Source organism: Homo sapiens, chromosome 20 (assembly GCF_000001405.40).
Source record: "Homo sapiens chromosome 20, GRCh38.p14 Primary Assembly".
NCBI classification, from domain to species: domain Eukaryota; kingdom Metazoa; phylum Chordata; class Mammalia; order Primates; family Hominidae; genus Homo; species Homo sapiens.
In genome coordinates this window covers 5,552,145-5,578,323 of record NC_000020.11, presented here as the reverse complement: position 1 = coordinate 5,578,323, position 26,179 = coordinate 5,552,145, and the positions used below count along the sequence as shown (strand labels likewise).

The 26,179-nt window shown below is 38.5% G+C and overlaps 1 protein-coding gene across 1 annotated transcript in view, besides 1 other annotated feature; it reads left to right on the top strand.

Annotated features, from left to right (window-relative positions):
• GPCPD1 (glycerophosphocholine phosphodiesterase 1) overlaps positions 1-26,179 on the top strand; it is a 66,568-nt gene that overhangs the window by 32,683 nt on the left and 7,706 nt on the right. Inside the window, exons 9-19 of the mRNA NM_019593.5 lie at positions 2,346-2,508; positions 2,779-2,911; positions 4,355-4,409; positions 8,085-8,177; positions 10,764-10,841; positions 11,552-11,591; positions 13,246-13,307; positions 16,794-16,859; positions 18,248-18,384; positions 19,505-19,640; positions 20,219-20,379. Of these exons, the coding sequence (NP_062539.1) occupies positions 2,346-2,508; positions 2,779-2,911; positions 4,355-4,409; positions 8,085-8,177; positions 10,764-10,841; positions 11,552-11,591; positions 13,246-13,307; positions 16,794-16,859; positions 18,248-18,384; positions 19,505-19,640; positions 20,219-20,379 (1,124 nt within the window). The remainder of the gene's footprint in view (positions 1-2,345; positions 2,509-2,778; positions 2,912-4,354; positions 4,410-8,084; positions 8,178-10,763; positions 10,842-11,551; positions 11,592-13,245; positions 13,308-16,793; positions 16,860-18,247; positions 18,385-19,504; positions 19,641-20,218; positions 20,380-26,179) is intronic.
• Positions 24,471-25,200: an enhancer, noted in NCBI's record as "OCT4-NANOG hESC enhancer chr20:5533770-5534499 (GRCh37/hg19 assembly coordinates)". NCBI's record gives its function as "activates a minimal SCP1, AML or CMV promoter by ChIP-STARR-seq in naive H9 embryonic stem cells {active_cell/tissue: H9 hESC(naive)}" and the evidence as "EXISTENCE:reporter gene assay evidence [ECO:0000049][PMID:30033119]".

Here is a 26,179-nt window from a genome sequence, read left to right as displayed (position 1 = left end):
AACGTTGGTTTTGATTTTCATTTTAATCTAATTTGTGTAAAGCTAACTTTTTAGAGGTATGCTCTTCTGTACAGTTAAGCTTAAAAAACTTAGAGTTGTCATCTTCAAGTACTATTAAGAATATAATTAAGAGAACAGCAGTATTGATGTTTCCAATCAAGACCAGATGTCTTTGATGCCTGTATGCTAAATAATCTAAATGTAAATGAATTGTATCCAAAGGAAACATCAGTGGTAAATAGAGACCAGGGCAGGCTTTGTACCTCTTGGCGGGCATCCCGATGTAACAAGCGTGATTGAGTTCTCACTATGATGGAAGCCTGTCATTTATTGAGGTACTTTATTAGGATTTGTTGATGGGACTGACTTGCAACTTGATATTGTAAATATGTAATGAAATTATAAAGCTTGTGCCAGGTTATTGACAATCTGTGCTGCTAACTTTCTGGAGCTACATGTGATACTTACACTAGTGCTTGTAGACCACTGGCTGTTCATATTTCCCCAACACATAATACTTGGTACATCCCCTAAGGTCCTTACTGCTGTGGGCCTGGCTCGGTAGTGGTATGTAGTGGTTTCCTTACCCTCTAGCTCCACCTCCACACCCATTTATACTAGATTAGAGTTTAAATCTTGGAGGGTAGGGAATATGTCTTGACCACCAGTAGCCCCCAGCCAGTTTCTTGAGAACAACAGAATTCAGAATGGATTTAAAAAAATCTAATCCAGTAAGCAGTAAGATCTGTGGGACTCTATTATAAAAGTATGAAATTTTGATGACTTCTTTCTTTCTTTTTCTTTCCTTTCTTCTTTTCCTTTTTTTTTTTTTTCTGGAGAGAGGGTCTTGCTCTGTTGCGCAGTCTGGAGTATAGTGACATGATCAGGGCTCACTGCAGCCTCAATCTCCTGGGTGCAAGTGATCCTCATGCCTCAGCCTCTCAAGTAGCTGGGACTACAGGTGTGTACCACCACACCCAGCTAATTTAAAAAAAACGTTTTTGGCCGGGCGCGGTGGCTCATGCTTGTAATCCCAGCACTTTGGGAGGCCAAAGCAGGCGGATCACGAGGTCAAGAGTAAGAATACAAAAATTAGCCAGGCGTGTTGGCGCGTGACTGTAATCCCAGCTACTCGAGAGGCTGAGGCAGGAGAATTGCTTGAACCTGGGAGGCGGAGGTTGCAGTGAGCCAAGATCACACCACTGCACTCCAGCCTGAGTGACAGAGCAAGACTCCATCTCAGAAAAAAAAAAAAAAACAAAAAAAAAAACAACTTTTTTTTTGTTGTTGAGATGGGGTCTTTGTTGCCCAGGCTGGTCTTGAACTCCTGGGCTCAAGCGATCCTCCTGCCTCGGCCCCTCAAAGTGCTGAGATTGCAGGTGTGAGCCTCTGCTCCTGGCCTGAACATTTTCTTGTTGCTTCCTTTTAATAAACCTACCTTTTAATAAATTATATCTTGAATGTCCTACCTTCCCTTTACTTTGTTTAACATTTTTTGTAATAGTGTTTTGTTCATAGACTAGGCTGATAAAATATCCAGTGTAATCTCAAAGTGAGTATAGTATTTGGTTTCCTAGAGAGTTCCTATCCCATGTGACACTTGTGTAGAAACATTTTTAGAGAATATGTTAAAAATTCACTACAAATATATCTTAGTCTTACAACAACATAAAAGTGATTAGAAATTTTCGAGCAGTGCTTATACTGAATGAGACTCTCTCAAAAAAATATATATTTTAAAATGTACAAAGAAAATGTATTTAATCATAGAGAAGCCATCAAGTCACATGAATATAAATTTGATTGTATCTCTTATCAGTTCTACCCCAGAGATTCTCAGTTGACTTTGTGAGCTTTTTGATCTTTAAATTGAAAATGTTGAATTTTTTTTTTTTTTTTTTTTTGAGATGGAGTGTTGCTCTGTTGTCCAGGCTGGAGTGCAGTGGTACGATCTCAGCTTACCACAGCCTCCACCTCCCGGGTTCAAGTGTTTCTCCTGCATTAGCCTCCCGAGTAGCTGGGACTACTGGCATGCGCCACCATCCCCGGCTAATTTTTTGTATTTTTAGTAGAAACGGGGTTTCACTATGTTAGCCAGACTAGTATCAAACTCCTGACCTTGTGATCTGCCTGCGTCAGCATCCCAAAGTGCTGGGATTACAGACGTGAGCCACTGACCCCGGCCGAAAATACTGAAGTTTTTATGAAAAAAAAAATATATATATACACATTTCATATATAGGAGATATGTGTGTGTGTGTCTGTGTGTGTGTGTGTGTGTGTATATGTATGTATGTAATGTAGAAGTTTAAAAATTAAGATTATTTTAAATCTCATTTTTTCAGGAAGATCTCAGTGAGCACGTAGTTCAGGGTGATGCCCTTCCTGGACATGTGGGTACAGCTTGTCTCTTATCATCCACCATTGCTGAGAGTGGAAAGAGTGCTGGAATTCTTACTCTTCCCATCATGAGCAGAAATTCCCGGAAAACAATAGGCAAAGTGAGAGGTAAGGTTGAAGACACTGCCAAATAACCCAAGGTTAAGTTAGAATTTTAATTAGTTTCAAATTAAGTATTTGATAATGATAAAGATGAAATTAATAATTTGCTTTAGTATCAATTTAAGGAGCATGTCTGTTACATTTTGAATCTTGTTTTTTTTTCCGTTTGACAGAAACTGATAAAGCTGACTTGAGTGGTATTTAAATATAATGTAGCTCATAATGGCCCTTTTAATCATTTTTATTTTTGTTCCTCCCTCTTTTTTCCTATGAAAGTTGACTATATAATTATTAAGCCATTACCAGGATACAGTTGTGACATGAAATCTTCATTTTCCAAGTATTGGAAGCCAAGAATACCATTGGATGTTGGCCATCGAGGTGCAGGAAACTCTACAACAACTGCCCAGTAAGTTGAATATTTGAGTAGGATTAGCATTTGGTGTAGCTTATGTTCGGTAGAGTTACACTGGTTTTCTCAGCAAAGGTCAAATGATGTTTTTATTATTTACCAAGGGAATTTAGTGTAATTTGGTAATTGGGGTTAGAGACCAACCTTAAGATTCTGGTCAGTTTTTTAATATATCTACTGAATTGATAAGGAGGAAGACATTAAAAGTAGAAAGGCAGGAAGGAAAGCTTGGTGCAGAAAGCTTTGGGAGCATCAGTGTGTGTGTCTGTGTCATGGTCCTTACTTTTGACGTGTTGCCCTCTCTGAGTCTGAGTTTCCGCATCTATAAAATGCAAAGATTTGGACAACATTATCCCAAGTCTAGAAAAGTGTGACTAAACTCAAGGAATATTAGTTAACTTGGACCTCAACGAAAGATGCTCTGTCTTCTCAACAGACATTAGATTGTAGCCTGGAATAGTTGTCTTCCCCTTCTACTTTTGTAAGTTTATTTAATTACCAGTGCGATAGCTCATGCCACAGATTTTCTACTGTAAATTTTAATCCCTCCCCATTTTATTTTAAAGTGATGCTGTGGAGATCATTAGGATTTTTTAATTTTAAGGTCTATAAAAAAATAACTATTTAAGGAAGAAGCACCCTCACCTGCCCCCACCTTTTTTATTTGTTTGTTTTTGAGACAGAGTCTCTGTCGTTCAGGCTGGAGTGCAGTGGCACATTCTTGGCTCACTGCAGCCTTAATTTCCGGAGCTCAAGCCATTCTCCCACCTCAGTCTCCCCAGTGTCTGGAACCACAGGCACGTGGTACCATGCCCAGCTATTTTTTTGGTATTTTTCTGTAGAGACCGGGTCTCACCTTGTTGCCCAGGCCAGTCTTGAACTCCTGAGCTCAAGTGATCTGCCTGCCTCAGCCTCCCAAAGTGCTGGGGTTACAGGCGTGAGCCACCGCAACTTCTCAGGCCCCATCTTAAACAATACATTTTCCCCCTTTCTGTTCTTATTATGAATAGAGTTTCCATACTTCTATCCTGTGTGTGTGTCAGTTGTTTCTCATTCCCCCACAGTCTGCCAGTATTAAGTCCTTTGGAGGCTGTATTGCAAGGAGCAGGTTTCTATGTCTCTATTTCTTCTGCCATTGAAAAGGATTGTTTTTATTGATCACTTTACATGTCTCCAAGAAAAAAGTCCATGGTACAAGGCAAGTGCATGTTGTGTTGGCCATGTCGGTATTCAGCTTGTAAATATCTATCATTGTCAGAGCTTGCATTTAAGGAATAAATTCCTAGTCACAGCCATAGTCATATTTTGGGGATGTCAAAACTGGCCTCAGAATACAGAATAAGTACCATTTCCCATTGTTGAAAGTACACTTTGCTTCTTTATTACATTTGTTTCTTTATCTTCTCTATAGTCTATGTTAACTGTATTTCTTCTTTTCAGGCTGGCTAAAGTTCAAGAAAATACTATTGCTTCTTTAAGAAATGCTGCTAGTCATGTAAGTAACCTTTAAACAACTTTAGACTGCTGAGGTAGAGAAATATGGATCAGGGAGTCTCCTCCAGTTTTTATTAATAGTTAGGGGAATATCTCTTGGCATTTATATTCAGATCCATGGTGAAGATCGGAATGAAGACAATAGAACCATAAGCATCTTTTCTTTTTTTTTGAGACAGGGTCTTGTTCTGTCACCTGGGCCTGGAATGCAGTGGTGCGAACATGGCTCACTGCAGCCTCAACCTCCTGGGCTCAGGCATTCCTCCCACCTCAGCCTCCGTAGTAGTGGGACTAGAGGCATGTGCCACCATGCCTGGCTAATTTTTAAATTTTTTTCTCTTTTGTAGATTCAGGGTCTCACTATGTTGCTCAGGCTTGTTTCAAACTCCTGGGCTCAAATCTTTCTAAAGGCATTTTTTCCAAAGTGAGTATCTGAATAAGCACATTATTCAGGTAGTGAAAACCAATGCTTAGTGGGAACTTTCTTTTGTCTCAATTACTCAAAATTTATTATCTCAAAAAAGAATGCTGGCTGGGCACAGTGGCTGATGCCTGTAATCCCAGCACTTTGGGAGGCCGAGATGGGCAGATCACCTGAGGTTGGGAGTTCAAGACCAGCCTGGCCAACATGGTGAAACCCAGCCTGTACTAAAAATACAAAAAATTAACCTGGCATGGTGGCCCGCGCCTGTTATCCCAGCTACTTGGGAGACTGAGGCAATTCAAGAATTGCTTGAATCTGGGAGGTGGAGGTTGCTGTGAGCTGAGATCATGCCACCGTTTTCCAGCCTGGATGACAGAGTGAGACTCAGTCTCAAAAAAAAAAAAAGAAGGAAAGATTTGATGGTGATTTTATGTAACACTTGAAAGAAGTGTATCAGCTGAGTGTGGTGGCTCATACCTATAGTCCCACCTACTTGGGAGTCTGAGGCTGGAGCTTTGCTGGAGCCCAGGAGTTTGAGGCTACAATGAGCTATGATCCGTCCAGTGCACTCCAGCCTGGGTGACAGAATTGGACTCTATCTCTTTTAAAAAATAAATAAATAAAAAAGTATCAGTTTCCACCCTTGCATACCAACTTGTCTTCCTTAACTCCTTATTTTTTTTTTTAATCCAGTTAGAGTCTGTTTTTTAGCTGTTAGTATTTTCAGCAACTGCAACTTGGACATTTTTAATCAATAACCTGAGATTTTTCTCCCCTATTCCTCTGTACTTGTCTGGACCGCCTCACATTCCAAAGTGAAACTAGGGGGAAAATGGAGGAACATCTCATTTTTTAATTTCCACTTTTTCCACAGTGTACTCCATATGCCCTCAACTTTGCCTTGTAAAAAATAGTTCGGGAAGTAAACTTGGTTAGTCAGTGTTTAGCTTTATTACTTATATGAACTAACATCTATTCTAAGGTGTACTTTTAAAATATTTTAGCCTCTTGGAAATTGGAATGGGTTTACAACTTAGCTTTGAGTCATAATTTAATTGACAGCTTATTTCCCCCTCTTAGTGGTATATAAAATAATGCATTTTAAAATTCATGACATCTTGAATTGATCATAATTTTAATGTTTAAAATGTTAGTAGATTGTTTTATCTTTCTGTTGAAAATATGATATTTATTAATATTATTAGGCTATAGTTTATAATTAATTTGGAACCAGTTTTACTGTCATAGCTAGTCTAAACATCATTTCATTAGCTATAAACGTGATGGCTTCGTCACCCAGGCTGGAGTGCAGTGGCAGGATCATAGCTCACTATAGCCTCAACCTCCTGGGCTCAAATGATCCTCCTGCTTTGGCCTCTCAAGTAGCTGGGACCACAGGCATGTGTCATCATACCTGGCTAATTGTTGTATTTTTTGTAGAGACGGGATCTCACTATGTTGCTCAGACTGGTTTCGAACTTGTGGGCTCAAGCGATCCCCTCACTTGGCCTCCCTAAGTGCTAAGATTACAGGCATGAACCATCATGCCGGTGTGATGACCCTGTTAAATTTTTTTTTTTTTTGAGATGGAGTTTTGTTCTGTCACTCAGGCTGGAGTGCAGTGGCATGATCTTGGTTCACTGCAACCTCCACCTCCTAGGTTCAAGCGATTCTCCAGTTTCAGCCTCCCGAGTAGCTGAGATTACAGGCGTTTGCCACCATGCCCAGCTAATTTTTGTAATTTTAGTAGAGATGGGGTTTCGCCATGTTGGCCAGGCTGGTCTTGAACTTCTTACCTCAGGTGATCTGACTGCCTCAGCCTCCCAAAGTGCTGGCATTATAGGCGTGAGCCACTGCACCCTGCCAATAATTTTTAGATATGTGCTTTTTGAGAGAGGATTTCATTAAGCCTTTTTCTTCCATATTCTAATGAAATCCTTTATAACTCACAGGGATCACATTTTCAGATGTGTTATTTTAATTATTATTGGCTTATTTTAATGTTAAATACATATCTATGAAGATGTTTCGGTCTGTTATTGGCTTATTACTTAAACCTCATGATGAATTTTGGGATTAAGTTTTGTCTTCTACTAAAATTATTTTCTATAAGGATTATGGTTGTCTAAAACCAAAAAAATTAGAAAGCTACAACTTAAAATGTTTAATAGTTAGAACTACTTGGGAATGGTAGGGTTTGTCCTCTTTGGTAGAAAGGGTTTTGGTATTGTCTTGTTTAAAATAAGAGGTGCTAAGTTTCCCGCTTCGGAAGTCTGCAAGGAAGTAGGCTTCCTCGCCAGACTCTTGAACTCCTTTGACTCTAGTCTGTGATCCATGTGTATTCCCAAGTTGAGTTCTACCCCTTGACAATTTAGAGCCAGTGTAAGGGGTAGAAATGCACCCATCTTTTCAGTAAAGTAGTGTTACAGAATTTTCAAACCTTGCTTCCTTCTATCGCAGCTGGCCTTTCAGAAAAGGTACATATTTGTATGTCAGTTTATGACATACAGACTTTAACTGAATTAATTCATAGGGGTGAGTGGATCTGCCTTTTTCTTTCTTTCTTTCTTTTTTTCTTTAAATTAATTTCAGTCCTGCTCCTTCTGTGTGGATCTGCTTTTTAGAAATTTGGCTTTAACTATAATTCATGTCTTCCTCATTTGTTTGGCTTTCATTAGGAAACCGGACATGAGCATCATCTTTTTCCTGTTTCTGTTGTCTCTGTCTGTTCATCAGCAGTTATGGCTTCCTCTTTCATTCCGTACTGACATTTTGCTGAGAAAGGCTGTACAGTGGACTGCTCAGGTGCCCTAAGGAGCCGAGCTAAGGCACTTTGCAGCTTATTCCTTCCCTCACTGAATCTTTCATGTTAGCTGTGCAGCTAAGGTTTGCAGGGGCAGTGGGCAGCAATGTGTGGGATCCCTGAGCTTGGGGCTTTTGTTGGGTTCCTTTTCTGCCAATAGCAGTTGCAGAAGTAACAGCCCCGAAGGCTGTCTCACTGCCACTGCGGTGCCTCTGAGTGTTTTGAAGTGAATCTGTGTCCGTTTTTTTTTTTTTTTTTTTTTGCCAGGAAAAAGTAGCTGTGCTTTTGCAAAAGAGAAAACCCATTGTTTTAAGAGAATACATTACTTTTTAGAAAAAGTTTGTACAGGTCTGTAATTTTATAGTGAACAAAAATTTCTTACGTTCTTGCAGTTTGAGAGGTACTGTGTACCAGGCAATGTTTTTCAAATACTTGCTTCCTTCTGTCAGGGTGCAGCCTTTGTAGAATTTGACGTACACCTTTCAAAGGACTTTGTGCCCGTGGTATATCATGATCTTACCTGTTGTTTGACTATGAAAAAGGTACGTTGAAATTTCTTCATTTCAAACTCTTAATGTTAAGTAAAAGGTTTAAAAACTAGGAAGTTTTTTTATATTTTTAATTACTTATTAAATAGAATTGGTTAATTCATTTTCTTGGTGAATTACTGCCAGTCCTTCCCTCTCATGCTCTTGCAACATTGAGACAGTGATGAGTTGGGAATACTGCCTTCCTAGAGTAGGGTCTCTATTGCTGAAAATACTTTATTATGTTACAAAAAAGGGACATTCCAGGTGGTTTCTGTAGCGGTCTGTCTATGCTACTATATTGAGGCAAGAGAGGAAGATATCATAGTGTTTGTTTTCTAGGATTCCAGCTGTTTCTGCTTCAAGCTTCTTCAATTAATAAGGCTAGTGAGCCACAGTGAAAAATTCAAAAAGAGGTTTGGAGTTAGATGGTGGAGGGCCTCAGTGAAGAGGTTTAGACTCAAGAACTAGGGGGGTAGGAAATACTTTTTAGCTGAAAAGGGAAATGTTCAAGACTAATGTTTTGGTAGCTGATGAAATAGGAATTTCAGAGGACAGAGACTGCAGGCAGGGCGAGCAGCAATGTGGGCTACAGGAAAGGTAAGCCTGAATTGGAGTAGGGGACCAGAAGAATGGAGAAGAGGGCATAATGGCGGGGGGGGATCCAGAATGAGATTTAAAAACTTACATAGCTGTAAAAAAACTGTAATTGTTTTTGTACAAACATAATCATGATAATGATATAGTCCCTAAACGTCAGTATACTATGTAACCAAGTGATTTCTCGGGGACTTAGACTCTAAAACTGTGTTGGGTATTAATTTCCAACTGAGTTGATTTAAAGTTAGTCTAGTTGGCTAGCATCACTGTACCAGATACTGTCTGTTGTATTAAAGAGTGTGACAAAGACCCTGGCACCACCTGCTGGTGAATTTTAATCAGAGTTCCTAGGGGTTGGATTATTATGATGTATATATTATGTATAGGAAAGGACCCTTTTGTTTCTGCGAAATGGTATTAGGAGAAAGAAGGAAGAAAGGAAGGAAGGGGAGGGGAGGGGAGGAAGGGAGGAAAGGAAGGAGGTGCATCTATTCAGATTACATGAGTAGAGTGACCAAACACATGGAACAGGTTGTTTTAGTCATGGAAGAACATTAATGAAAAGATAAATGAGAAAGAGTGAAGTGATAAATGATCTTATTAGCCAAGATTGAGATTAATTGATCTAGCTGCAATTTATTTATTTATTTATTTGAGACCGAGTCTCGCTCTGTTGCCTAGGCTGGAGTGCAGTGATGTGATCTTGGCTCAACCTCCACCTCCTGGGTTCAAGCGATTCTCCTGCCTCAGCCTCCTAAGTAGCTAGGACTGCAGACTCCTAAGTAGCTGGACCAAGCCCAACTAATTTTTGTATTTTTTAGTAGAGACGGGGCTTCACCATGTTGGCCAGGCTGGTCTCAAACTCTTGACCTCAGGTGATCCGCCCATCTCAGCCTCCCAAAGTGCTGGGATTACAGATGTGAGCCACTGCACCCGGCCAAGCTACAGTTTACTTCTGAAAATCAATGAGAGTTCAAATATTACTAATGCCCCATTTTCACCAGGCTATATCTTGATCTGAAGTTGAACCTGAATGAGTTAATTGAGAAATGAAAGCAATGAACTTTTATACTGAATTTTGATTTTTAAGCTGGTGTTTTTCTTATAAAAACAATTCATCTTCATTAGAAAAAAAAAAAGTATTTCAGAAGATTATGAAATGAGAAATAAATCTTTCCTGTTTTTCCTTGTTCTTACTGTCTTACTTTTAATAGTTTCTTGTGTATTCCAGAAAAACTTTATGCATGTACAGGTTCATACCAATGCATATGAATGAATATATATGTGATGGATTTTAGTATATATATATACTAAGTATATATATATATATACTAAGTATATTTGTTGGACAGATGATTTATTGGTGATACCTTAATTCATTTCCTGTAGAAGTGCCTTCAACAGAGTGACATTGATCATTTGATAGACATTAAAACCTAATACAACAGATTTGCTTGTGGGGGAAACATGGTAGCTCAGAGTGCTTAAGTATTATGGTTTATAGCTAATCAGACAATTTTTTCATGACATTTGGTGTGTCTGCTGTTTTTAATCAGATGTTTAAAAGTCTTCGAAAAGATTAGAAACTTACAGAAATAAATTTTATATAGTACTTTCATATTGATTTCTAGTCACGTAGTATGGATAAGTATCAAAGAAAATGTATAGACAGCATAACAGGAAGTAGGGGAGATGACTGACTTCTGGTTCTATCCTCAGCTGTCTTCAGCGCTACAGCTTTCTGCCAGCTGCATTTTCCTTCCAGGTATTCTACACTGCAATAAAAATGAAAGCCAGAATATAAGGGCTGGGAGGTGGTGTTAGGTTAGAAGGGCTGTCCTGCATGGGCTCAGTATGGCTACTAACAGTTATTCTCATTGTTGAGTAAATAGAGTTGCTAGGCCTGTCTAGTGTAAGCATTCAGTAATAATTTAGGGCTTACTTTTCTCTTAATTTTCTTTATTCTTTCTTTTTCTTTCTTTCTTTTTTTTTTTTTTTTAGAAATTTGATGCTGATCCAGTTGAATTATTTGAAATTCCAGTAAAAGAATTAACATTTGACCAACTCCAGTTGTTAAAGGTAGTAATAATAACATGAAATGTAAATTATCCCTTAGCTTTAGGACTATTGTACTTGCTTGTATATGGTTATGTTCTCTTTGCACATGGGGATGACTGTTAAATTTAATGTGTAGACTATGTGCTTTGGTATTCTGTTCTGTTTGGGAGAAGGGTTCTGTATCGATCCAGCTGTCTTCTCCAACCATTTCCATGGACCCCACTGGTTTTTGTATTTATGAAGGAACGAACTAGACCATAAGTTTTTGTAGGCCATAGTGGCTAGCCCTTCTCATTCATAATCTTTAGGTTGCTTCTGTTCTGCAGTAGCCCTTCTTCATATAATGGTCATTATTTTACAATAGGCCTTTTATGCAATAGTTGGTAAATATATGTTAATTTCCAATACCTTTGAATATTTTGTATCATGTAATTTTACATGGTACCTCTTCCTGTCCCTATTAGGAACCTAAATAAATGCATGATTCCCTATTAACAGTTATCTAGTGAAGAATTTTTATATTCTTCCCTAATTGAGTATTTGATCATTATCTTAAATGTGTATGCACATATAAAATATATATAGTGGCTAGTGCTTATTCTTATTAAACTGATAGTTCTACGTTTTATAGGCTTTTTTATCTTGCTAGTTTTTCAGGATATTTTCTGTTAACCATCTCTTCATAAGCTAAGGCTTCCTTTCTGATTTCATTTTGTTTGTGTGCTTTCTAGCTCACTCATGTGACTGCACTGAAATCTAAGGATCGGAAAGGTATGTACCAATATGGAAACACTGTTTTCCTTTTGTAGTTAGCATTAATAGGATTTTTAAAATCGATTTTAGCACATACTTGATACTTGGTCATTTTTATGAGTATAATACTGGGCCTTCTAAATGTAATTTTATAGTTCGGAAATGAATTTGCATTTGTTTTCTACTAAATATATATCATGTGTATAGTAACCATTGCATTGCTTTTCTTAGCTTGATGATCAAAGTGTTAATACTTATCAATCTTTCCAAACATTCTTAACCATTACAAAGTAGAAAGTAAATCAACTATAGAATCCGGCTACAGGGTCAATTTGAACCAGCTCTTCATTTACCTGTTATGACCGTGGGCAAGCTTTGTCCTGCCTACCACATCCCTTTATAATTTCACTTCACTTTTCTACTCCCATAGAAATTAATGGCTGTGCCATTCATATGAGGCTTATTGTATTCATTTTAAATCCTTTATTTTCATATATGTCCTGTCTTTTCAACTAGAGTGTTAGCCCCTCAGGGGTAGGAAAATGTTTTTATATTCCCAGAGACTGATGGTGCTGTACATATAGTAGGTGTACTATAGATATAGGTGTTTATCTGTAATTGTGATAACCATACAGTTTTAATATCTTTATAAAGATTGTGAAGTGCTTAAGACCAAAGATTATCCCCACCCAGAGCATAAACGTAACTATATAGGCTTATAGATATTTTATGAGTCTTAGTAATAAAATGAATTTTACCTTTAGTTTATTCTGCTGGAAAATTATACATGATTTTGTCTTTGAATTTGTAATACAGGTTTTGTATGTGTGTTTTTAAGAAAAACTTGATATTTTAATTTTTTCCACTTTTGGAAAATAATTCTTTTTTTTAGTCTATATTGATTAATTGATAATAACAAAAGCACAATAGTTGCTGTATATTCTCTTAATTTGTAATTTCTGAGCTGATTTTAGTATTTCAAATAGTAGTCTTAGCAAAATCACACAACTCTTAATTCTCTGGAGAAATAGCAAAATCACAGCTTGTGACTACTTTTTAAAGAGTAGTACTTTAGTACAAATTTTATAAGAAAATAATCACTCTTGGGTCTACAGACTGGTGTCTATTAATCGTTGCAAACTGGTTTTCATGATGCTTATTTAGAAAATGGGTTTTTGATGTTTAATACATACAAGAGCCTTTAAAAAATACTATATATAGGGGCTGGACACGGTGGCTCACTCCTGTAATCCCAGCAGTTTTGGAAGCCAAGTTGGGAGAATTGCTTGAGGCCAGGAGTTCAAGATCAGCCTGAGCAACTAGACCTCATTTCTACAAAAAAATTTTTAAAATGAGCTGGATGTGGTAGTGCATGTCTATGGGCATAGCTACTCGGGAGTCTGAGGCTGGAGGATCAATGCTTGAGCCTGCTTGAGTTTGAGGCTACATTGAGCAATGATCATTCCACTGTGTTCCAGCCTAGATGACAGAGTGAGACCCTACCTCTATTAAAAAAAAAAAAAGGGATCTCAGAGTTACTTATGCTCTCGCGCTTGCTCACACACACACTCTCTCTCTCTTTCCCTGTTTTTTTTGGCACTAAGGATTTAAGAAAGCTCTTAGTGATATAGTGGCATTTTATTTACTGAGATTTTGTGTTTTAAAATTTCAGAATCTGTGGTTCAGGAGGAAAATTCCTTTTCAGAAAATCAGCCATTTCCTTCTCTTAAGATGGTAAGTTATTGAGGAAAACCAAGGCAAGGCTATCATTAACTTTGTCATGTATGAATAATTTACTTTTGTTTCTTAAAAGGATCCTAAAAAGGCTGTGTTAAAGACAATGTTAATATGAATTTATCATCATTGGTGCCTTTTAGAGAAGATACTTTGTGTGTTTGTGTGTGTGTGTGTGAGTGACAATCCCACTTTGACATCTAGGCTGAGTGCAGTGGCGTGATCAGGGCTCACTGCAGCCTCAACTTCCTTGGCTCAAGCGATCCTCCCACCTCACTCAGTCTCTCAAATAGCTGGAACTGCAGTTGTGCACCACCATGCCTGGCTAATTTTTTTATTTTTTTGTAGAGATGGTCTCACCTTGTTGCGCAGGCTGGTCTCAAGGGAATTCAAACCTCTGGACTTACGCTGTCCCCCAGCCTCAGCCTCCCCAAGGGTTGAGAATACAGGCATGAGCCAACACACCCAGCCAATAAGATTCATTCTTGTGTAGTATACTTGTGCTACTTTTTTTCTTTCCCCAAGAGTAACTTCTATTCAAATAAATAAAAATTCCCATCTCAGTATGGTAATTTGGTAAGAGTAGCAAATCCATATATTTCTGTTTATAAATGGGAAGGAGAGGGCACAGGTATAGGAGTTAGAGAAAGGTGATGGTGGGAGAGGCAGTTTTTGGTTTTTTTTTTTTAACAATATTTTAAACTGTTCCTTAGTTTTGAGAGGGAAGCGAGTTTCTTCAACCAAAGAAAATAAGTGCCCCTCTTACTTAAGATGATATTGAAATTTCAGAAATTCACTCTGAAAAAATAGATCTTCACACAAAAACTAGCATGAAGACTTAAAAACTAGATACAATTTAATACGGGAACACCCTTGACAGCATCAGGAAAGCCCACACAGATGCCAAGGAGATGCTGGCTCTGCTTTTGTTCCACCGACTCCAGTTTCTAAATTCTGGTCTTTCTCGTTGTCTTTTTCTGCTCGTGTCAGGTATAGTAGATTTCTTAGGCAAAAATAGGTAGTTTTAGTTTACTATTATGTGGAAATTCTTATTTGGGGAGTGGAGCTTATTAGCTTAATGGGTTTTATCTACTGTATTAGCTACTTGCTAACACGTGCATGGAAATGTGTGTGTGATTTAGAAAGGAGAGAAGTGACCATAATGAAGATTTTGTTAAAATATTTAGGTATGTATTTCTTGAGGGGTTCATAAAACAATCTAAATCATTAAAATCTCAGTGGTTAAAGGTAAATTAAGTATTGATTATTCATTCTGCAAAAAGGATGCTAAAAGAGAGCCCCTGCAATGAACATTATCCTAGTGCATTTAAAACATCATTTTTGGCGGGACATGGTGGCTCATTCCTGTAATCCCAGCACTTTGGGAGGCCAGGGCAGGCAGACAGTTTAAGCTCAGGAGGTTGAGGCTGCAGTGAGCTGTGATTGTGCCACTGCACTCCAGCCTGGGCAACAGAGAGAGATCCTGTCTCAAAAATAAATAAATAAGTAAAATGTAATTTGTATAACTTTTAAGGTACTTATGAAGCCCATCTAAGTAAGATCATTTCTTCTAATTCAATTTTCTAAAATCATTTGTGTTTTAGAAATCTCATGATTCCCAGGAAAAAAATTTTAAATTGTGATACAGGTTTGACAGCCTTTTAGTCAAATAAGTTAAAACACACACGCAAACTCATTTACTCACTTTGCCATTATAATTCAATCACAAAGAAATTTTGGCCAGGCGTGGTGGCTTACGCCTGTAATCCCAGCACTTTGGGAGGCCGAGGCAGGTGGATCACGAGGTCAGGGGATCAAGATCATCCTGGCTAACATGTGAAACCCCGTCTCTATTAAAAATAAAAAATTAGCCTGGTGTGGTGGCGGGTGCCTGTAGTCCCAGCTACTCGGGAGGCTGAGGCAGCAGAATGGCGTGAACTCAGGAGGCGGAGCTTGCAGTGAGCCGAGATCGCGCCACTGCACTCCAGCCTGGATGACAGAGCGAGACTCCGTCTCAAAAAAAAAAAAAAGAAATTTTAACGCCAAAATAATACCAAATATAATCTCATTATATAGACACTTTTCTGGCAAATTTGCCTTTTAGCAATCTCAACACTAATATATTGTCCTAGTCTTTCTCATTTTGCATTAGTCCAGCAAAAATATGACAGATACGTTAAATAAGTCTTTAGATATAGGAGAAAATTAAAAAAGTCCCACACAAAATTGAATACAAACTGTTTTAGATGCTGTACTTTACATGCAGCTGGTTAAGAGTAGGCCCAGAGCTAGATGCCAGGTCACCAGACTCCTGGGCTGTGTTCTTACCACTATATTATTCTGTTTGTATGCATTTATTTGCTGTTAAAAATTAAATACCATATGTGCTATACATGTTCTTTGATACCTAAAATTTTGAAGTATCTAAAATAATCTGCCGGGCACAGTGGCTCACGCCTGTAATCCCAGCACTTCTGGAGGCCAAGGCAGGTGGATCACCTGAGGTCAGGAGTTTCAGACTGGCCTAGTCAACATGGTGAAACCCATCACTACTAAAATACAAAAAATTAGCCAGGCGTGGTGGCAGGCACCTGTAATCCCAGCTACTTGGGAGGCTGAGGCAGGAGAATTGCTTGAACCCCAGAGGTGGAGGTTGCAGTGAACTGAGATTGTGCCACTGTGCTCCAGCCTGGGTGACAGAGTGAGACTATGCCTCAAAAATAATAATAATATAACATAATCTCTGTCAAATTCATTTTGCCCTGAGCATATTTATGTATATGTCTGGGCTTCATGTTTGTTTAAGACTGAACAAGTCCGTTCTTTGGAGGTTACTAACCAAGTTTCATATTTTCAATGTCATTTTCTAGTTAAAACTGCCAAAATAATCTGATGGCAAAGTGTCTAGATAATTTAGTTTAGATACACTGATAGCATTTGTCATTTATATAAATTATAACTTTTTTGATTTATGAGCTGTAGCATAATGTTTTCATTTTGGGGATACATCTTTTCAGGAAGTTATGGGATTTGTTTAGCATCATCACCTTCAAAACAATCTAAACATCATGGTTTTTCATAGATTTTAGGCAAGTAGATTGACATCCCCAAATGCAGTGTAGAATACATGACAAATGTCTTGAATTCATGATGTTGCCTATTGTGTTAGAGTTCACTTTGGATGTTTACTAGTAATGGCGAAAAGGATTTGAGGTTAAGGACCATCTTTGTGTTTGTCAGTTATCACAGACAGTGCCTGAGACTCCTGCTTTTGCTGCTTAATTTCTTTTGACCTTATTTAACATAATCATCTACCAGGTTGTCACTTTGAGTATGACAAAATATGTTTGTGCATTATGCACAAAACATTTTATTGCTACTAATGATAAATTCTTATTATTTTTAGTAATAATTGTATTTTTTTTGTTTTCTTATTCTGCTATCCATCTCATCAAAAACAAAATTTACCAACAAACAAAACTGTAGGTTTTAGAGTCTTTGCCAGAAGATGTAGGGTTTAACATTGAAATAAAATGGATCTGCCAGCAAAGGGTAAGTAATTCTCTATGCAGCACATTCTATACTCTCTATGCCTATCTAAAAAATTCTTTCATTCCTGTCTTTGTATTTTAATGGAATAAGCTAAATTGAAATCTCATTGTGGCTTCCTCCACCAAGCACAATGCTTATTGGACCCTTTAAATAAAACATATCTTGCATTCATGCTAGTATGTGAGTATTTCAAATTAATGATGAATATTGTAGAAATTTCAGTTTACATGTGTCTTGTGTGAACAATATGGTGGTTTTGGGGAGATACTTATAAAGTGGATAGTCACATCTCTTGGATTTAGTTTTTACTTTCTTATTCCCATATAAGAATGTTTTAAATAATTTTCTAAGCAGTTTTCTGTTGTTAACAGTAGCTAGTAATAATTATTCAGGAAAAAAATTTCTGCAATTGTTTTAAATCACTTACAAATTTAGTCATTTTTTTGTTCAACAAATATTTTTTGAAAAGCTGCTATGGACCAGGCATTTTCCAAGTGCTCGGGACAAGTAGTCCACAAAAGAGAATAAGGCCTTGTCTTCCTGGGACTTATATTTCAGTTGTGGAAAACAATTAGCTAACTATTGAATATATCAGAGAGAATATGTGCAGATTGATGGGATGCATTGCAAGGGGCTTGGGGTAGTAGAGTGTGGGGTGTTGAAAGTAGTTAATTCAGATGTCATGATTGGGCATTGAGCAATACCCTTGAATTTGTTTTGGTCAGAATAATCTGTAATTGCCCTCATTATGCTGTTTGTGACAAGCTGGTCCTCATTAATGTAGTGAATTCTCGACTAAGGTTTCCCTAATAATGTGATTTTTAGTTTTCTGAGCTTCTAGAATTATTTCAGTGACTAATACTTAAAACATTTAACATTTGAATGTCAATAGAGCTGGCTTGGTGTCTTGGCTATATTTATTGAGTTACTTTAATTAATTTTTGGTTACTTGATATGCCCAAGACCCAAAGAATGAGACTTTTAAACTGGTAATTAATAATTAGTAGGGACATTTTATTAATTTGTTAGCAGATGATGTGTGTGTCTTATAATTTATGGAAATAAAGTCATAGCAGACTGCAAAATTCTAGAGTTTTAGCTTTTATTTTAACTTTATTAATGCAAAAGTGTATTGATGATATAGTTAATAGTTACTTGCTTTTTGTATGAGAGTCTCTATGTCTGAATTATGACCTGTGTCATCACTAAATAGCTTTGTGATCTTGGGCAGATCACTTAATCTTTTCAGGTTTCATCATCTATAAAATAGTAGTTGGACTAGATACTGTCAGGGGTTTTTTCATCATAGCTTGCCAGAATAAAAACAGAGTTGCTAGCACTGATTTTAGGATGTGCAGTGACTTTTATTTTGCTTTCTCTTTCACTAGGATGGAATGTGGGATGGTAACTTATCAACATATTTTGACATGAATCTGTTTTTGGATATAATTTTAAAAACTGTTTTAGAAAATTCTGGGAAGAGGAGAATAGTGTTTTCTTCATTTGATGCAGATATTTGCACAATGTGAGTAATACTCTGTATTTTTTCCTATACTCTTAGAATGTGTCTAGGACTTAAGGCAGCAGTCTGGAGGTGGGGTAGTTGTCCAGCTTTCCCCCATGATCTGTCCTCTGAAATCATGTCAGGTTGTGTGTTTCCTCATGCCCTTTCTTGACTGTTTGCTAGGGTGCCTGCTACTCCTGTGAAGTCCACACCTACTAGGTCCTAGAGCCTTACACCCTTTATTTTACAGGCAGGTCATATACTCCTTACCATATTGTAAGCTCCCTAGGGATTTATCACTGCCGATATCTGAGAATATTTTAGCTCTTGTATAGAAAAAATTTTAAATTTGTATTTATCTTTTATTAAAAAAAATTGTTTTTGAGACAGGATCTCACTCTGTCACCCAGGCTGCAGTGGTGTGATGATGACACTGCAGCCCTGACCTCTCGGGCACAAGCAGTCCTCCTGCCTTGGCCTCTTGAGTAGCTGGGACTGCACGTGTGTGCCATTAAGACTGGCTAATTTTGTATTTTTTGTAGAAATGAGGTCTCCTCCTCTTTCACAGGCTGGTGTCAAACTCTTAGGCTCAAGTGAGCTTCCTGCCTTGGCTTTCCAAAGTGTGGATTACAGGCATGAGCCACTGCACTGTACCTGGCCTGAAAAGGCAACGCATGTTAATGGTGGTTTTAGCTGAGAAATGGGAATATGTTTCTTTGTTTTCTTTCTTTCTTTTTTTTTTAAATCTATTTATTTATTTGAGACAGAGTCTTGTTCTGTTGCCCAGGCTGGAGTGCAGTGGTGTGATCTCGGCTCACTGCAACCTCTGCCTTCAGGTTTCAAGTGATCTGGTGCCCCAGCCTCCTCGGTAGCTGGGATTACAAGCCTGTGCATGATACTCGGCTAATTTTTGTATTTTTAGTAGAGATGGGATTTCGCCATGTTGTCCAGGCTGGTCTTGAACTCATGACCGCAAGTGCTCTGCCCGCCTTGGCCTCCCAAAGTGTTGGGATTACAGGTGTGAGCCACCATGCCCGGCCTCGTTTGTTTTCTTTATACTTTCAGTGTTTTCTAAAATTCCAAAAAGGAATATTACAGTTACCCCCCATTGAAAGGTATTTTTAAAATTGTTTCTTTTCAGGGTTCGGCAAAAGCAGAACAAATATCCGATACTATTTTTAACTCAAGGAAAATCTGAGATTTATCCTGAACTCATGGACCTCAGATCTCGGACAACCCCCATTGCAATGAGCTTTGCACAGTTTGAAAATCTACTGGTAAGTTATGTTTGAATTTTTATCTTTTTAATGTTCTGTTTTCTATTTTGGAGTAGTAGTAAAGATTTCATATTACTTTACCCATCTAATGTTAACGTTTTGACTAAACTGTAGCAAACAAGTGGCTCTACTTAAAAACGAGGATATTAGATCTCAGGATGAAAAACAATTACATTAAGTACAAAATTTGTTATAGGCATACGTTAAATTTTTTAGTTTAACTTTCTGAATAGATTTTATGAATAATCTAAAAATGTTCAGACTGTATGCCTTTTAAAAATATTATTCCCATTTTACAGATGAACGTGAACTTGTTTTGGTAGAGCATTCCATTAGTACATTTTTTGACTGCACATTCAATATGTATGCTTATACATTATGTATATATTAATATATTGTGAATATATTTATGTATGAAGTGTCCATTAAAAAGAATAAGTTAAAGTAATTGGAAGAAAAAAATCTACCATTTTCTTTTCCCGCCTGCTGTACTTTGGAGAGCACTGATTTAGAGTGTGAGCATTTAGCTTTGCAGTTAATGTTTCTTTTTCATGCACAACTAATTTTTCTTCTTCTAGGGGATAAATGTACATACTGAAGACTTGCTCAGAAACCCATCCTATATTCAAGAGGCAAAAGCTAAGGGACTAGTCATATTCTGCTGGGGTGATGATACCAATGATCCTGAAAACAGAAGGAAATTGAAGGAACTTGGAGTTAATGGTCTAATTTATGATAGGTATTTGTTTTTCATGAAAAATTTTCATGGAATTTAGAAGTATAGATTTCATCTTACGAAATTATAAATAAAATTAAACTTAGTTAAGTTAAAATTCTGCAGTTCAGCCTGAGGTTATCTTGACATTTGCCTGTGGGTGTTTTCAAAGTTTGAAGGATAGCAGAATCACTTGGGAAGCTTGTTAAGGATTCAAATGACTGGGCCTTAACTCAGATATATATACTAAATCACCCTGGGGGTGAGGGTGACTGCCAGCCCTTAGACCTCTTCTCTGTCTATACCAACTTTTTCATTCCTCTTGTCCAATTCTGTGGCTTTTCATAACTTTCTGTGTTCTCACACTTACGTATCTCCAACTCAGACCCTTCCCTAGACCTCTGTAGACTTTTATTTCCAGGTACTGACACCTGTTCCTCTTACAGTCTTCCTGATTTCAGTATAAGTGACAATTCAGACCATATTCTTAGTCTTCCATGACTCTGTTCTTTATCTCATACCCCAAATCCAGTCAGATAGAAAATCTTTTTGTTCTGTCTTCAAAATATATCCTGAATCAGACTACTCACCAAGTTAACTGTTGTCACTCAAGTAAAGCAGCTCATCTTTGGTGTGGATTGTTGAGGTAGCCTGCCCCCTGGTGACTGCCTCTACCCTTAACGGTCAGGCTGTTTATTCTTAGTACAGTAGTGAGAGGGAAGCTTTTAAGACCTATGTCTGATCATGTTGCTACTTAAAACTCTCCCACAGTTTTCTGTGTCACCTAAAGGAAAAGCTGAAGCCTGAGGGCCCTATATGAGCCAATCTGCCACCCCACCACCTTCAACCCTCTTTCCCTCTCTGACCTTCCACAAAATTCCCCCATCTGCTGTTTCCCATTCTTTGGAGAAAGACTTCCGTAACAATTTAAATGTCACCTCAGTGAGGACTTTCTTGAATAACTGATTTCAAATAACAACTTCTATTCACAGTGCACTCCCTGACTTGTCTCCATATCATTTATCATCATCTGACACACCACATATTCTGTGTTACATTTTACTTGTTTTTCTCCCTAGCCCCTTTCCTCCATCCTCCTGGGCACTAATGCACACATGCAAATGAGAATATAGGCTCCATGAGGAGGGCAAGGCTGTTTGCCTGATTTGTTCATTGCTATTGAGGTTAGAACAATGTGGGGCATCCAGTAGGGAGTCAAATAATTTATTGAACAAATATTTTTTTTTCCATCAGCTTCTTTGGCAGCCACTAATCTGAGAGTCAAAAAGGTTTCTTTAGTATAAAGATATTTGGGGTTAGAAGGGATGTCATTTACTCTGCTGAGGGATTAGCAGACTTGCTCATACAGGTGTACCTCAGCGATAGTGAAGGCTGGGATCCAGACCACCACAGCAAAGCAAGTCCTAAATCTTTTGGTTCCGAGTGCATATAAATGTTATGTTTAGGCCGGGCGCAGTGGCTCACGCCTGTAATCCCAGCACCTTGGGAGGCTGAGGCGGGCAGATCATGAGATCAGGAGTTTGAGACCAGCCTGACCAACATGGTGAAACCCTGTCTCTACTAAAAATACAAAAATTAGCCGGGTGTGGTGGCACATGCCTGTAATCCTAGCTGCTCGGGGCTGAGGCAGGAGAATCACTTGAACCCAGGAGGCAGAGGTTGCAGTGAGCCGAGATCGCGCCACTGCACTCCAGTCTGGGTGACAGAGTGAGACTCTGTCTAAAAAAAAAGTTATGTTTATACTACATTGTAGTTTACCAAGTGTACAGTAGCGTTGTGTCTGAGAAAACACAGTATATATCTTAATTTTAAAATACGTTATTACTAGGAAATGCTAACAATCTACCTTCAGCAAATCATAATCATTTTGCTGCTGGAGGGTCTTGCTTTGATGTTGATGGCTGCTGACTGATTAGGGTGGTGGTTGCTGAAGGTTGAGGTGGCTGTGGCAGTTTCTTAAAATAAGACACAAATGAAGTCTGCTGTACCCGTGGACTCTTCCTTTTACACAATATTTCTCTGTTGCACATGATGGTGTTTAAGAGCATTTTTCACCCACAGTAAAACATCTTTTTTATTTGTTTTTGCTTTTTGAGACAGAGTCTCACTCTTAATACCCTGGCTGGAGTGCAATGGCATGATCTTGGCTCACTGCAACCTCCATCTCCTGGGTTCAAGCGATTCTTCTGCCTCCTGGGTAGCTGGGATTACAGGCGCACGCCTGCCACCATGCCTGGCTAATTTTTGTATTTTTACTAGAGAAGAGGTTTTGCCATGTTGGCCAGGTTCTTGAACTCCCGACCCCAAGTGATCCACCCGCCTTGGCCTCCCAAAGTGCTGTGGGATTACAGGTGTGAGCCACCGCGCCCTGCCAAAACATCTTTATTTTTATTTTATTATTATTTTTTTGAGATTGAGTCTCGCTCTGTCGCCCAGGCTGCAGTGCAATGGCACAATCTCGGCTCACTGCAACCTCCGCCTCCCAGGTTCAAGTGATTCTCCTGCCTCAGCCTCCCGAGTAGCTGGGACTGCAGGCATGCACAACCACATCCAGCTAATTTTTGTATTTTTGGTAGAGACAGGGTTTCACCATATTGGCCTAGGCTGTTCTTGAATTGCTGACCTCAGGTGATCTGCCTGCCTTTACCTCCCAAAGTGCTGGGATTACAGGTGGCCACCACTCCCTGCCCCACAGTAGTAAGTACATCTTTAAATTGGAGTCCATCTTCTCAAACCCTGCTGCTGCTTTATTCACTAAGTTTATGTAATATTCTGAATCTCTTGTTGTCATTTAAACAATGTTCAGAGCATCTTTGTTGGGTGGATTTGTCTCAAAAAACCATTTTCTTTCCTCATCCATAAGAAGCAACTCCTCGTCTGTTAAAGTTTTATCATGAGATTGCAGCAATTCAGTCACATCTTTAGGTTCCACTTCTATTTCTAGGTCTCTTTCTATTTCCACCACATCTGCAGTGACTTCTTCCACTGAAGGTTTGAACCCCTCTGGCATCTATGAGGATTGATATCAGCTTCTTCCAAATGCCTGTTAATGTTGATATTTTGATCTTGTCCCATGAATCAGAAATGTTCTTAATGGTATCTGGAATGATAAAAAGTTTTCAGTTTACCTTGCCAAGATCCTTCAGAGGAATCACTGTCTGTGGCAGCTACAGTCTTTGAAATGTATTTCTAAGGTAATAAGACTTGAAAGTCAAAGTGACTCCTTGATCCATGGGCTGCAGAATGGATTTTGTGTTAACAGGTATGAAAGCAGCAATCTCTGTTAGAGTTCTTGGGTGACCAGGTGCATTGTCAATGATCAGTAATATTTTTTCTTCCTGAGCCGTACGTCTCAACTATGGGCTTAAAATATTCAGTAAACCATGCTGTGTACAGATGTGTTGTCATCCAGACTTTGTTGCATTTCTGGAGCACAGACAAAGTAGATTTAGCGTAATTCTGAAGGGCCCTACAATTTCCAGAGTGTTAAATGAGTATTGGCTTCAACTTAAACTCATCATCAGTTGTATTAGCCCCTAACAAGAGAAGCAGCCTGTTATTTGAAGCTTTGAAGCCAGGCATTGACATCTCTCAAGCTGTGAAAGGTCTAGATGGGCATCTTCCAATAGAAGGCTGTTTTGTCTACATTGAAAATCTGTTGTTCGGCCGGGCCTGATGGCTCACGCCTGTAATCCCAGCACTCTGGGAGGCCGAGGTGAGCGGATCACAAGGTCAGGAGATGGAGACCATCCTGGCTAACACGGTGAAAACCCGTCTCTACTAAAAATACAAAATAATAATAATAATAATAATTAGCCGGGCGTGGTGGCGGGCGCCTGTAGTCCCAGCTACTCGGGAGGCTGAGGCAGGAGAATGGCCTGAACCGAGGAGTCGGAGCTTGCAGTGAGCAGAGATCACACCACTGCACTGCAGCCTGGGTGACAGAGCGAGACTCTGTCTTAAAAAAAAAGAAAAGAAAATCTGTTGTTCAATGTAGCCACTTTGTTAAGTGATCTTAGCAAGACCTTCTGGATACCTTAACTGCAGCTTCTCCATCAGCACTTGATACTTAACTTTGCACTTTTACGTTATGGAGACAGCTTCTTTTTCCTTAAACTTCATGAACCAACTTCTGTTGGGTTCCAACTTTTCTTCTGCAGCTTCTTTACCTCTCTCAGCCTTGATAGAACTGAAGAGAGTTAAGCCCTTTGAATTAGGTTTTGGCTTAAGGAAATGTTTTGGCTGGTTTGATCTTCTATCCAGGCCATTAAAACTTTCTCCTTATCAGCAATAAGGCTGCTTTGCTTTCTTTTCATTGTTGTGTTCACTGTAGTAGCACTTTCAATTTCCTTCAAGGACTTTGCATTCATAACTTGGTTAACAGTTTGGTTCAAGAGGCCCAGCTTTCAGCCTATCTTAGTTTTTAACATGCCTTCCTCACTAATCTTAATCATTTCTAGTTTTTTATTTAAATTGAGAGATTTAAGACTCTTCTTTCACCTGAGCACTTAGGGGCCATTGTAAGGTTAATTGGCCTGATTTCAGTATGGATGTGTCTCTGAGAATAGGGAGGCCAGAGGAGAGGTAGAAAGTTAGGGAGGGGAGAGGCTGGTCAGTGGAGCAGTCAGAACACACTGATTTATGGGTATGATTCGTGGCACCTCAAAACAATTACAATAGTGACATCAAAGATCACTAATCATAGATCACCATATCAGATAGAATCATAATGAACTTTGAAATATTGTGGGAATTATCAAAATGTGACGCAGATATGAAGTGAGCAGATGCTGTTGGGAAAATGGCACCAACAGACTTGCTGGATGCAGGGTGGTCACAAAGCTTCAATTTGTAAGAAACACAGTATCTGAAAAGCGCAGGTGGGGCATGGTGGTTCATGCCTGTAATCCCAGCACTTTGGGAGAAGACCCCATCTCATATAAAATAAAATTAAATTATAAGAAATTTAAAAAAAGACGAAGTGCAGTAAGACGAAGATTGCCTGTGCTTGAGAAGTGTTACACAAAGAGTAAGTGATAAAATCTCACTAGGCCTGCTTTAAACAATACATTCCTTGGATTTGGCTCATATTACTATTCTTCCCATAAAGTTATATTACTTTCTGAATAAAGCTTGTTTTCCTTCCAGTATTTTGTCTCAATTAGTTTGGTTTTAAAATTGTAGTCCAAGTAAATCCTACCTACCTGCCTTTTAAACTATTTGGTTAATTTTGCATGAAATAGCATGAGTGACGCATAGCGCTCTTCAGCATTTCCAACTAATTTAATTAAAATTTTAAATAATTTGGAACAAGTACTGGCTTTAGCAAATTTTTGAATGTATATGGTTATATGTGTATTTTTGTTACAAGGAATGATTACAAATATTTTCTGACAAGGAAGTATATTATGAGATTATATCATTTATGGTTTTGTAGAGTATACAAATTTCAGGCAGATTCTTCATCTCAAGGGCTTTACTTGGTTGAAATCAAATGTTGACATTTAATGGAGAACAGGAAGATACATGATATAACAGGTGCTCAAGAAAGTTCTTCCTGGCTTGGAGCTTTAAAGAGGAAGAATTGAGTTGGAATTTGGGGAGTGGTTATGTTTACTTTGACAAGATTTGTGTTCTAGGCAGAGGCAAGAGTGTAAATCAGGGCATGACTGTTGAGGGTTTCAGGGAGGTGGCCAGGCACTGGATTCCTAATAGGGTCTGAGGAGGGGAAAGGTGGGTTATGTTGAGTTGGTTTTTACCCTCAACATTTTTTTTTAATTTTATTCAAAAAAGCATGTGTATA